Source organism: Homo sapiens, chromosome 11 (genome assembly GCF_000001405.40).
Source record: "Homo sapiens chromosome 11, GRCh38.p14 Primary Assembly".
In the NCBI taxonomy this organism is placed as follows: domain Eukaryota; kingdom Metazoa; phylum Chordata; class Mammalia; order Primates; family Hominidae; genus Homo; species Homo sapiens.
In genome coordinates this window covers 90,131,428-90,145,689 of record NC_000011.10, presented here as the reverse complement: position 1 = coordinate 90,145,689, position 14,262 = coordinate 90,131,428, and the positions used below count along the sequence as shown (strand labels likewise).

Sequence of the window (14,262 nt, the reverse complement as noted above, 5' to 3'; positions counted from 1 at the left end):
GCAAACTATTAATCATCCATAAGGACTCTTCAAGCATCATCTTCTCTCAGAAGATGTCTTTCTCTATATCAGAAAATGAAAACTGCAGGTATCAGATGTTTAATTTCTTACCATATTTATTTTTTAAAAGTACAAATGTGTTCAGACAGAAGTTATTTTATATGTATAGGAATAAAAAAGCAAAACAGCTAGAGATATTTAATTTCTACTTTATACAATTCATTATTTTTGTTTCTACATAGAGCAGATATGATTCTTGCAATTAGAAAAAATATATATATTTCCTTAAATTAGGAGGGAGGATTAGCCATGAACTTTTTTGCCTCCCATCTTTTCAAGAACCCCCTGAAATGAAATAGAGAAGTACAGAAAAAGAGTAGGAAGGTAGAACATCCTTTATTTTATATCAGGGTTTCTCTGTATGGTCCCAAGATGGGCATTACAGCGCCAGGCATACATATTCACCCAGTAACTTCAGGAGAAACAAGTACAAACTAGAACAACTATTCCTTCTTTTGTGTTTAACAAAGGAACATTTTTCTAGAAGATCTTAGCCAAGTTTTTCTCCCATTTCATTAGGCAAAATAGGGTCATTTACCCCTTCTCAAATCAACCATTGCTAGAGGGAGGGTAATGATTGGCTTATGGACTAATCAAGAGATTCCTGGGCTGGGAGGAAGGTAACCTTTACTGAACACATACCCTCCTGAGAGAGGGAGAACACTCAAAGTTGAGGCTCTGTTAAAAAGAAAGTGGCTGGGAGAAATACAATTGTTCCCACATTTAAGCCCTTTAACCCACTCTTCAAGCCCTCCTTTGCCTTCTAAACTCTTCTGCTGTGTTCATTAACCCTTTAGCTCTGCAATCAACTATTCGCTTATATCTTCAGCACCTTCTCTGAATGTTTCCTTGACCTCCTTGTCTTTCTTTTCCGTTTTTTTTTTTTTTTAATGGAGTTTTGCTCTTGTTGCCCAGGCTGGAGTGCAGTGGTACAATCTCGACTTACTGCAACCTCCGCCTCCCAGGTTCAAGCAATTCTCCTGCCTCAGCCTCCTGAGTAGCTGGGATTACAGGTGCATGCCACAATGCCCAGCTAATTTTTTGTATTTTTAATAGAGGTGGGGTTTCATTATGTTGGACAGGCTGGTTTTGAATTCCTGACCTCAGGTGATCCACTCTCCTTGGCCTCCCAAAGTGCAGGGATTACAGGCATGAGCCAACGTGCCCAGCCAACCTCCTTGTCTTAACTGGTTTCCTCTGAGGACCCTGCTCACATGCCGGCTGTTTTATTTTCCATGATCCCATATAGCTCATGGCTAAAATTCAGCTAGGAGGCCTTCTTACTCTCCACTGGCTCTTTCAAATATATCTCTTTTATCTTCTTTAAAAACTAACAGCTTTTTTGAAGCTTACAACAAAAGTCACCACCCACTACACCTTCTAGGTATGTACTGTCATCTACAAAACTTTGAGTCATGCCTCTTCATTCATTAAAGTTGGGGGCTCCTAATATGGTGTATTTCCCTCTATCCCTGTTCTTGTCATCATTCTTGGTGTGTAATTTTTGTATGTGTATCTCTCTTCAAGTGATGTTCATTCCTACTCATTCTTTTCCTGTATCATCAAAAAAGCACCTCACAACAGACATTTTGAACTAATCTCTTGATATCTGATGTGCCTTGATAATACATAAGCTGAAATTTAATAAGAACATTATAGCTGATTTATTCCTCATTACAATAGCTCACTCGAGTTCATCCATAGACACTAACATGGAACCTTGTGATCTCATCAACAGCACAGATGGGTAGAAAATAGAGATACTACTCAACTTATGGTGAGGTTATGTTCCTATAAACGCATTGAAAGTCAAACATATTACTAAATTGAAAATGCATTTAATACCCTGATAAATCCATCATAAAGTTGAAAAATTCTAAATCAAACCATCATAAGTCAGGGATTGTCTGTTAACTGTAGTGTATGTACTTCGCTCAGTGTATCTGTCTGTAGGGTTTAACTGGAGTATTAAAAGAGAAGAGGAGAAAGAATGGTACAGAAAGATATTTTAAGAAATAGTAAACAAGACCTTTCTAAATTAATAGAAGACATAAATTTACATTGTCAAGAAGCTCAGAGAGCCTAAACAGGCTAAATTTAAAGAAAACTATGCCTAGACACATAGTAAAACTGCTGAAAATCAAAGACAAAAATAAGACGTTACATGATTTAATGACTGTAAACTTCTCATCAGATGACATAGCAGCTAGAAGACAGTGAAACATTTAAAGTTCTAAAAACTTCATGTGTATTAGCGGAGTCAACCCAGAATTCTATGTCCAGGAAAAATATGTTTGGAGAATAAAGTTGAAGTAAAGAATTTTATGGGTGAAGAAAAACTAAGAATTTGTCACCATCAGACTCCACATTACAGGAAATACTTAAGGAAGTTATTCAGACTCAACAGAAATAGCACAAGGCAACCTAAATCTTCAGAAACAAATGAAAAGCATCAAAAACGATAAATACCTAAGAAACATGAAATACTAATTTTAACTTTAATTGGTTTACAATACATATACATGTTCAAAGAAAAAATATAACATTAATATAACATTATTTTTTGAGGTTTATATTTCATGTATGTATAATACATATGACAGCTACTTTATAAAGGATGGTGGGGGAGAGAGTAAATGGACATAAAGAAATGTGAGTTTCTCCATTTTGTATTAAGTGACACAGTAGTAAATTTAAGAATACAGTGAAACATTACAGATGTATAATATAACCTTTAGAGTATCCACTAAAAAGTATAGCCAAAGAGGTATAGCCAAAAGATAAATTGAAATAAAATAAAATTTCATATATTTTCCCCACTATCAAAAAGTCAGAAAATGAGTAAAGGTACAGAAAGAAAACAGAAAACAAACCAAAAAGTGGCAGACTTAAGTTTAATTATATCAATCAATAACTATATTATATGTTAATGGACTAAATACTCACAAGGCAGAGGTTACCAGAGTGGATAAAAAAGCAAATATCTATTATATGCGGCCCACAGAGGGCATACTTAAATTAAGATTACAAAAATGGATAAAACAGCAAATGACAACTGTGTTCTCTCTATAGAGGGTACATTTTAATTCTAATGAAAGTGATAGTTAAAAGTAAGTAGATGGAAGAAGACATCGTATATAAACATAAGTATTAGAAGGCTGACGTGGCTCCATTCATATGAAATAAAATAGACTTAAAAAGATTATTACTAAAGATAACTAAGCACATTTCATAAAAATAAAAGGTCATTCTGTTTTGAAAACATAGCAACGTCCATGTGTATATGCCTAATGAATGAGCCTCAGAATACATAGAGTAAAAACTGAGCAAGTTAATGGGACAAATAGACAATTTCGCATTCGTGGAGAAAACTATAACATACCTCTGGATTAAATTTGACCCCCTCCCAAATTAGTGAAGAAATAAAGGAATTACCCTACCGACCAGCTAAAAAAGAAAAATCATATGATCATATTAATTGATACAGAAAAAGCGCTTGACAAAATTCAACACCCATTCATGATAAAAACCCTCAGCAGTCTTGGAATAGAGGAGAGCTTTCTTAACTTGACAAAGAGCATCAACAAAATAACGACAGCTACATCATACTTAATGGTGAAACTAAATCTTTCTCCTTAAGATTAGAAAAAAGAAAAGAATGTCCACTCTTACTACTCTTATTCAACAGAGTAATGGAGTTTCCAGTCAGCACAAAGAGGCAATTTTTCTTAAAAAAGTAAAAGGCATACAGGTTAGAAAGAAAAAAGAAATGAAATGTTCCCTTTTTGAAGATGACATTATTGTCTACATAGAAAATTTCAATGAATCTACAAGAAACAAACCAAAACAAACAAACAAACCAAACTCTTTCCCACCTTCCAGCCAAGTCCAGTGGCTCACATTTGTAATCCCAGAACTCTGGGAGGCCTAGGTGGGAGGATCGCTTAACTCCAGGAGTTTGAAACCAGCCTGGGAAATATGGCAAGACTCTGTCTCAGAAAACCCCCCCAAAACCAAAACAAACAAACAAACAAAACCTTCTTAGAGTTCAGCAAGGCCACAGGATGCAACATCAATACACAAACACAACAGTATTTCTATATGCTAACAACAGAGTATGTGGAAATTGAAATTAAAACACAATATAATTTGCATTTGCTCCAAAGAAAATGAAAGATGCAAATCTAACAAAGCATGTAAAGCATCTGCTTAATGCAAATTACAAAATGCTGATAAAAGAAAGATGATCTACAATTGGAAACATACCACGTTCATGTAATAGAAGACTGGACATAGCAAAAATGTCAAGAATTCCCAAATAGCTCTATAGGATTAATGTAATTCCTATCAAAGCTCCACCAATAGTTTTTTAGACAAATATGTGTTTATTATATATTTTAAATGAAAAGGTAAGGGATATAGTATAGCTACAATAATAGTTTAAAAGAATAAGGTAAGAGAAATCATTCTATGTTTTGTTAAAATCTACTATGTCACTTTAATAATCAGGACAGTATGGTACTGGATAAATAGGGCAGAATATAAAACCCAGAAACAGAATAAGACTCTGTCTCTACAAAAGAGAGAATCTAGAAATAGACTCACACAAATACGCCCAACCAATTTTTAACAAAGGTGCAAAAGCAATTAAATGAAAGAAGGATAACATTTTAACAAATGGTGATAGAGCAGTTGGCCATTCTCAAGCAAAAGAATAAACTCAACCTAAACCTTACACCTTTATGCACAAAATAACTCAAAATAGGTCAGAAACTTTAATGTAAAAGGTAAATTATAAATCTCTGGGGGAAAAAAGAAGACAAAATTGGTCAAAGTCCAGATCAAAGAGTTCTTAGATATGAACCCAAAAGCATGATCCAAAAAGAGAAAAATTGATAAATTAAACCTCATCAAAATAAGGTTTTAACTTCTGATCTGCAAATGAGGGTGGGCAAATAGACAAATTACAGACTGGGAAAAAATATTTGTTCACTGCATTTCCAACAAAAGACTTATATCTAGAATAGAGTTGACCCTTGAAACATAGGTTTGAACAACATGGGTCCACTTATATATGAATTTTTTTCAATAAATATATTGGAAAATTTTTTTGAGATTTGCAGCAATTTAAAAAAAACTCATAAATGAACCACATAGCCTAGAAATATTAAAAAAAAAAGAAGAGGTTTGTCACGAATGCATGAAGTACATGTAAAAGTATTTTATCATTTACTGTTTTAAAATAACATGAATCTATTATAAAAAGTTAAAATGTATCAAAACGTAGGCATACAGTTACAGACTACATGGTGCCATTTGCAGTCTAGAGAAATGTAAACAAACATAAAGATACAATATAAAATCATAATTATGTAAAATTAACTGTAATACATTGTGTACTACAGTAATACTTTTGTAGCAACAGCTTATTGCTCTTGCCGTGAGCTTGTGAGGTGACTATCTGCTTAAACCACTGTGTGATATTAATCATCTCCCTAATCATCACTACCTGAACAGTTTGTTTCTCCAGTAAATTGCTTATGGCAGTTTAAAAAATGATCTCCCATGGTTCTCATGTAGTTCTTACCATGTTTAGTACAATACTGTAAACCTTGAATAACACCGTGGGATCCATACAAAGTGCCACTAATGATACATTATAAGAAAAGGTTGAATTGCTTGGTATACCGTAGACTGAGGTATGCAGCTGTGATTGCCCTCCATTTTCAAAATAAATCCAGCATAAGGACTATTGTTAAAAAAAAAAAAAAAAAGGAAAAGTTTGTGAAGCTGTCATGGCAGCTATGCCTGCAAATGTGAAAACTTTGTTCTTTTGCAAATTACCTTTTTTTCTTGTATTGAAAATGTAGCTTTTATGTGGGTGTAGGATTGTTATAAGAAAGGCATATCTATAGACTCTAATTAATGTGATTTGAGAAAAAGCAAAGTCATTCTATGATAATTTAAAGCAAAAGGAAGGTAAAGGTGGAGAATAGTATGCCTGCAAAAGATGGTTTGATACATTTAGAAAGAAGTTTAACTTAAAGTGTCGAGATAAGAGGAGGAGCAGCTTCTGCTCACCAAGAGGCAGTAGACAAGTCTTCAGATGACATTAAGAAAATTACTGAGGAGAAAGCATATCTGCCTGAAAAGGTTTTTTAATGCAAATGAAAATGCCCTATCCTGGGGGCAGAGGGGGATGCTACAAAGGGTATTTATGAGTAAGGAAGAGATGTAAGCACTGAGATTTAAGGCAGGAAGGGATAGGCGAATTCTACTGTTTTGTGCAAATGCACTTGGGTTTATGATAAGGACTGCCCTTATCTATGAAGCTGTTAACCCCCAAGCCTTGAATGGAAAAGATAAACACCAGCTTTCAGTCTTTTGTTTGTACAACAAGAAGGCCTGGACAACAGAAACCTATGTTCTAGATTGATTCCACCCATACTTTGTTCCTGCAGTCATGAAATACCTTGCCAGGAAGGGATTGCCTTTTAAAATTCTTTTGGTATTGGAAGACACCTCTGGCTACCCAGAAACCCTGAGATCAAGTAGTCTACTTACCCCCAAACACATCTCTCTAATTTGCCCCCTAGATCAAGGGGTCATAATAAGAATTTTAAGGCTCACTGCACTCTATGGAAAGGACTGTCAATACTACGGAAGAGAACCCTGACAGAACTTCATGAAATTCTGAAAAAAATTACATTATTGAAGATGCCATCATTGTTATAGAAAATGCTGTGAAAGCCATCAAGCCCAACACAACAAATTCCTGCTAAAGAAAACTGTGTGCAGATGTTGACATGACTTCACAGGATTGATGACAGAGCCAAACAAGGTAATCATGAAAGAGATTGTGAATATGGCAAAAAAAAAAAAAAAAAAAAAAAAAAAAAAAAAAGTTGAGGGATGAAGGGTTTCATGATAGTAATCTTGGAAAAATTCAAAAGTTAGTAGACACCAGAAAAATTAACAGAAGACGATTTGATGGAGATGAATACTTCTAAACCAGTACCAGGTGATGAGGAAGAAGACACAGAAGAAGCAATGCCAGAAAACAAGATGATATTAGACAATCTGGCAGAAGGGTTTCCATTATTCAAGACTGCTTTTGACTTCTTTTACAACACGGTCCTTTCTATGATATAGGCACTAAAACTAAAGCAAATGATGGAAGAAGAACTGGTAGTGTATAAAAATATTTTTAGAGAAAAGAAAAAGCAAAAAACATACATGATGTCTAAGAATTAAATGGAATGTGACTGCCTTTCCTGACTCCCTTCTCTACCTTCTCTGCCTCTGCCATCCTTGAGACAGCAAGACCAACCCCTCCTCTTCCTCCTCCTCCTCAGCCTACTCAATGTGAAGACTGGATGAAGACCTTCATGAAAATCTACACTCACTTAATGAATAGTAAATGCTTTTTCTCTTTCTTATGATTTTCTTAAAATCATTTTCTTTTCTCTAGCTTACTTTATTGTAAGAATACAGCATATAATACATATACAAAATACATATTAATTGTCTATGTTATTGCTAAGGTCACTAGTAGGGTATTAATAGTTAAGTTTTGGGGGAATTAAAAGTTATGTGTGGATTTTTGACTGCATGGGGGGTCAGCACCCTATGCCCACATTACTCAAGAGTCAACTCTATATAAAGAACTCTAAAATCTCCATAGGAGGGTTGGGGATGGTGGCCTATGCTTGTAATCCTAGCACTGTGGGAGGGTGAGGTGGGTATGTCACTTGAGCTCATGAGTTCGAGACCAGCCTGGGCAAAATAATGAGACCCTGTCTCTACCAACAACAACAACAACAACAACAAAATAAATAAAATAAACAAAAATAAAAAAATTAGCTGGGTGTGGTGATGCATGTCTGTAGTCCCAGCTACTCAGGAGGCTGAGGTGGGAGAATCCCTTGAGCCTAGGACATGGAGGTTGCAGTGAGCTGAGATTGCACCACTGTACTCCAGCCTGGGTGATGGAGTGAGACTCTGTCTCAAAACAACAACATCAACAACAAACAAAAAACTCCACAGGGGGAAAACAACTTATATCTAAATACAAAATAAGCCAAAGCCGTGAATAGACTTCTAAAATTATTTATTTTTAAATTTTATGGCTACCTACTACTTGTACACATTTATAGGGTATATGTGATATCTTGATACAAGCATACAATAAGTAATGATCAAATCAGAGTAGTTAGGATATCTATCACCTCAAACATTTATCATTTCTTTGAGTTTGGAACATTTCAAATCCACTCTAGTTATTTTGAAATATACAATAAATTATTGTTAACTATAGTTGCCCTATTGTGCTATGTAATACTAGATCTTATTCCTTCTATCTAACTGTATTTTTGTACCCATTGAACCAACCCCTCAGTATTGTCTGCCCTCCTCACTACCCTTCTAGTTTCTGGTAACCATCATTCTATTCTCTGTCTCCATGAGATCAATTTTTTTTTAGCTCCCACATATGAGTTAGATCATGCAATATGTGTCTTTCTGTGCCTGGCTTATTTCACTTAATATAATGACATTTAGTTCCATTCATTTTGCTACAAATGATAGGATTTCTTTCTTTTTTATGCTGAGTAATAATCCATCCTGTATATACACCATAATATTTGTTGATGGAAGTTGATCATCAGGTTGATTTGGTATCTTGGCTATTGTGAATATTGCTGTGGTAAATATCAGAGTGCACATATCTCTTTGGAATACTGATTTCCTTATTTTGAGGTAGAAATGCAAAATGATGCAACCACTTTTCACTTATCTTAGGCATTTTCTTAAAAAGTTAAACTTATGCTTATCATCAAACTCAACCATTTCAAGAGAAATAAACCACATATCCACAGAAAGACTTGTAAACATCTGTTCATAGCAGCTTTATTCACAATAGTCAAAAACTATAATCAACCCAAATTTCCATCAATTATACATTGCAATATATCCATACAATGGAATTCTAGTCTGCAATAAAAATAATGAACTACTAATGCATGCAACAATCTAGATGAATCTCAAAATCATTATTCTGAGTAAAAGAAGCTAGATACAAAAGAACATATACTATATGATTCCATTTAAATAAGATTCTAGAAAATGCAAATGAATCTCCAGTGATATAAAATTGGTTAGTGATTGCCCAGTGACAGAGATGGAGGGGGATGGGGAATAAACTGCAAAGGGCATAATGGAATATTTTTGTAGCATGATGGAGGAGGTGGTTTGTTCAGCATAGCATACGTCTGTCATAACTCTCAAATTGTAGGCTTTATAGGGATGCAGTTTATTTTATGTAAATTATACTTCACTAAAGCTGATTTTAAAAAATAACACCCATTTGAAAGAGTCTGAATACAGAAATAAATACCATGGCCATTGTTCTTAAGGAGTTTATGATCACTCCCCCAATTTCCACTGTTTTTCATGGTTAGAAGCTGGAGGAATGGCAATGATTCTTTTTGGTTTCATTTTGTCTTATTTGTAAAAAACAAATTTATACCTGCAAGATGGGATAAAGGTTTAACTTTTGGCAGACAGAATCAGACACTTTGATCACTTTTCCACTAAATCACTTAGTCAACCATCATCTAACTTTCCCTGACAGAATATGGTATCTAAGAAAATTGCTGATTAAAACCCAGGCACTGATGAACAAAGAATAACATTCAGTTAGATCCAAAGTTACATGAAGTTGAAACATCTCTCAATAAGCCAACCAGATACTTTTTGTTACATAAAGTTAGGGAAGAAAGACCTACTTTTTCACCCCAAGACTGGTGTAAAGAGACATTAAAAAAAAAAAAAAAGTTGATGACTAATATGTAATTTCACACAGAGAAGACTGTCCTCATGCATATAACCAGGTATAATATGCTTCTCACTGTGATATTTTAAACATGATTTTTAAGATCAAATACGTAAAATAAACTTACCGAAGAAATGATTTGATGTTTTCAGCTTTCATTTCGGATACCAGTTTCCACCGTATACTTTGATGATAGCGCACAGAAGTGGTCGTTTCTTTGAGAGGCTTAATAAACCAGCCTAAGGAAAAAAAATACACAAACATGCACACATACACACAAAATCACTTTGACTTTATTAAAACTAGAAGCCACCCCTCTGTCCTTCCCCCCAAAAAGCCTTTATCTGACAAGTAGATCATGGTGAGCTTTAAAAAATAATGTTTATATTAAATGCAGAAAACCTGTAAATTCTGATATGTAATATAATTTTTAGATGCTTAAAAGGAGTTTTATTTAAGAGAAGCTCTTTCATTTTCTCACGTTATGCATGAAGGCATGGCTTTTGTTGTTCTTCCCTGGATCTCTAGTCCCTGACACATAGGGAACATTCCACAAATATTTATTTACGTATAGAGCAGGGTTTTGTTTTGCTTTGTTTCGTTTTGCTTTGTTTTTAATGCTGCCCGTATTAGTTGAAAGTTTTGACTCACTAATGTTGCTTGGAAATAAAACGATTTTTTTTCATCCCTGCAGACAGTGACAGCTGTAGGTTGTCTTTAGTGAACTCAGTGAACATTTAATAAATTTGAATTTCAAGCACACTTTATCTATTAGCAAGCCCAAAATACATTCCATCTGGTTTCTAGTTTTGCTGAAATGTGCAGAGTTTATCATATCTAGCCCAGCCGGCCAGGGCTAGCGCACAGCCCAATCCCTTCCAGCTCCAGGATTTCTCCCTTTATCTCTGCAGAGAATCACGAGCCCCGGAGTCGGGGTAGAGTGTTTTGTTCACTTACCCACCATAAATCCCATCAGGAAAGATGCCAGCGCAGCAGCCAAGCACATCCAAAGGTACAGACGGCCCCTGGATTCCGCCATGGCTTCTTGAGGACCGAGCTTGGGGCGCCTGCTACATTCGCGAGCTTCGGGGCTGCAGAGAAACAGAGAGCGCGCTGGCAGGAGGCTGTGAGCTCTGGGTGGCCTCCGCTGACCTTCGCAAGGCCACGCCTCCGCCCTACCCGCTGGGGACCTGTGGTCCCCAGGGGCCCTCGATGGGGGAAAGGAAGCCCTGCAGAGGGAGGAGACATTCTTCCTGTTGGCGGGCAACTTCCATTCTGTGGATCCCGCAGTAACCCGGACATAGTAGGTGGCGGGAGCTGCTGAAAACGTCCCTAATTTTTTCCTAAAGAACTCTACTGCTGTTTGCCATGCCCATCCCCCAAAATGCCCAGTTTCGGCTCAGAAGTGAATTTAAGTATTGCTTTTCCTGATCTATTGGTTATTCTTCTTCCAGATTCTCTGCTGTAATTTCCCACTCGTCAGACTCGGAAATGATTTCTGGTCCTGGGTGCTCCGCTGTTAAAGCTGTTAACATCACTAATACCGCAATCACTGTCAGCATCAAAATCGATGGGATTGCGTTTTTTTGTTCCCCTTTACTTAAACAAAACTCCACATTTCTGTAATTCTGTTTCCACTCATTTAACTGAGGTTTTTACCTACCTCACTGGAATGTTTTAGGTTCACATTAGTAAAAGTAATCACTGAAAGGACCTTGCACTGCCAGTAGTTACTGAGAGTCTGTTCTTAATGCTAAAGCTCAGACACCAATTTCCCAAAATATGGTGCTTTGACATGCTAAACCGAAGAAGCCAGGGGGTCTCTCTGACCATACCCCTCTCTTCCAGCTCCTCTCTCTCAATCCTTTGTCTCTCCCATAGCACAGAATAAAGCTGTTCTCTAAAGTTCCCTTATCTGCCTAAAGTCCAGAACTACTAAAGGCAAAAACAAACAAACAAAAAAAAAAAGAGTTTCTTTCCTGAGTTTTCATTAACCGAACTAATATCTCAGGAAGAAGGACTGCAGTCTGTCAATACAACTGGCAGCCTTCTGTTACAAACTCTCGTCTGCCCTGTAGGGCCAACAGACTTTGTCCCAGGCCATTGCATATTCTTCAAGCCCATTGAATTTCCCTAAAATTCATTTACTACCCTCTTAAAATTATACACACATTCTCATCTTCCTTTCCTCTAAAAAGATGGGTATATTATCATCTGTACCTCATTGGTTATTGGGTAATCATTCTACTACGATTCCCTTATGCTATGTTATTCATAAATTTGTAAGCCTTTTTTTTTTCTAATAGTCTGCCTTTTGTGAGTTGATTTTCCAGCAAAACTTCAGAGGGTGAAGGGGAAGCTTTCCATTGACCCCTACATTAGCAATGGTCCCTGTCATTCCCCTGTCCTCACCATGCTACATTCATGAAGCATTTCTCTTTAAAGATGGGTTTGCAAAATAGTGGCCATTGTAAATAGCCTTCATCCAACCATCTCATCTCAGAGAAAAATTTTAGGAATTTATGATTGGCTTCACGTATCTAACCAAAAGTAGTTTTTTCAGCCAAAGCAAAACTGCTATGTTGATTTCAAAGATGGTAGTATATCTAGGATAAACTTCACAGCATTGTCTGCAGCCCTGATAGCTTTAGGTAATGCACCTTTGCTCCTAACAAGTGACTGGAAGAGTGAAATTTATTTTTCTGGGACATAACTTTTTTTTGTCCTTGTATTTCAATGGCTATCAATTGAACATAATTGTTGATAGGTATGCCTAATAACTTATTTCTTGAAACTTTTGTAGCATACCTGGTACTTAACTTTGAAGCAAACCTCCTTAATGAACTGTTGATTTCTAAATGTTTGCATGCAATTTAAGTCCCAACTAACTTCAGCTTTTTCAGCTACTAGCCTGTTAGACATTCCTTGACTGACTCCTCCAGTGTTTTTTATTTTAGAGAGAAACATCTTTCAAAAAACATTTTCATAACAAAGTGAGTTTGTTCCCCCTTATATGCATACACACAACACCAAATATAGGGAATTAGAATAGAATTATTCAAAAGGTTCAATATCCAGTGAAGTAACTAAACCCCTCAAATATGGCTTAAGAAACATTTTCCAAGAGCACTCAGAATTATTTTTATGTGTGACATTATGAAATAATACTGGGATTTTAATAACTCTCCAGTGTTTAACAGGTGACACACAAAGGTCTCAAACAATATCAAATGTTATTTTTGTACATATAAACATTTTGGGTATTGATTGTGTAATTTGTCAATTTTTAGACTCTTGGCTTTTTCTATTTGCTACCCATTGGACCATTCACTGTTGACTACATAGCCCTCAAGAGGCAGATCAAAATTATCTCCAGGAAAAGATTTACTGAAGAAAGAGAAGGTAGAAACTAATGAATAAAGTTGCTAAGCTATTTATTAAATTTATTTTTTCTTGCTCATTTTGTGTTTTTTATTGCTAATTGAAGTTTGAGTAATAGAATAAATCAATGCATTATTTAACACAGTTTGCCAGTTTGAATAATCTCCCTAAATTAAAATTAGATTAAAGAGTTCCAAGAATGAGCAATGTTACCTCAAATATGACTGTCGTCTCTGTAGGCGGCATCTGCAATCTTGAAAAGCCATTGTAAAAAGCCCAGTTAGCTGGCTCAACAAGTCTTTGGACTTTTGTCAATATAGACACTGCAAGCATTCAAAATTCTATGTTAATTAAGTTTGTAACAGAAGGCTGCTATCAAAAAGTAATTGCTAATTATTACCATCTTGGCAAATACTTGTACTTTGCAAAGCACACTTAACAAAGCAACACTGTTGACGTAGGGCAATCCTTTTCAATTTCTCCATCAAAGCTAATAGTATATAAAAACTTTGAGTATTGAAAACCAGTCTCTCAATGAAGCTATTTGACACATTTGACCTGCTCATGATTCAGTGAGCCTCTAACATAACAAAACTCACCACTTCCTCCATTTAAGTTAAATTGCTCTTATCTAAGCATTTTTTCCTCCTCTTCTCCATCATAGCAGAAGCAGTTTTGTAACCCTGAAGCTCAAGTTCCTTCAAACAGGTTATGGCAATGTTTGAAAACAAAGTGTCATATATGTACTAATAAAGCAGTATATATAAATTTCACTTGCAGAATTAAGCTTTAATTATTAAGCTTTAATAAAAAAGAATAATGTTTAACTTGATGATAAAGTGGTGAGATATTTGTCAAACCCACAGTCTCACCAGGTGCTGTGCCACAAAATTTCAGGTTTTGCTTGAAAATGTTGCCTTATTCTGCATATGAGAGGCTCACTGTATAGATACAGACATTATGCCCTTAGTGATGTCACAAGGTGGCAT

General features: G+C 35.7%; 1 protein-coding gene across 8 annotated transcripts in view, besides 1 other annotated feature; it reads right to left on the bottom strand.

Moving 5' to 3' along the window:
• NAALAD2 (N-acetylated alpha-linked acidic dipeptidase 2) overlaps positions 1-13,991 on the bottom strand; it is a 61,196-nt gene extending 47,205 nt beyond the window's left edge. For 2 of the 8 annotated variants that reach the window (XM_047426168.1, XM_017017046.3), the window contains exons 1-3: positions 13,487-13,594; positions 10,850-10,983; positions 10,020-10,131 (exon numbers count right to left, since the gene is read on the bottom strand). In XM_047426168.1, the coding sequence (XP_047282124.1) occupies positions 10,020-10,131; positions 10,850-10,983; positions 13,487-13,539 (299 nt within the window). In that variant the 5' untranslated portion in view covers positions 13,540-13,594. Of the gene's footprint in view, positions 1-10,019; positions 10,132-10,849; positions 11,028-13,486; positions 13,597-13,872 lie in introns of those variants that run through there. The other 6 variants (NM_005467.4, NM_001300930.2, XM_017017043.3 and 3 more) reach the window with 5 other exon arrangements.
• Positions 10,420-11,123: an enhancer, noted in NCBI's record as "H3K27ac hESC enhancer chr11:89867735-89868438 (GRCh37/hg19 assembly coordinates)". NCBI's record gives its function as "activates a minimal SCP1, AML or CMV promoter by ChIP-STARR-seq in primed H9 embryonic stem cells {active_cell/tissue: H9 hESC(primed)}" and the evidence as "EXISTENCE:reporter gene assay evidence [ECO:0000049][PMID:30033119]".
• Positions 13,992-14,262: the final 271 nt, after the last annotated feature.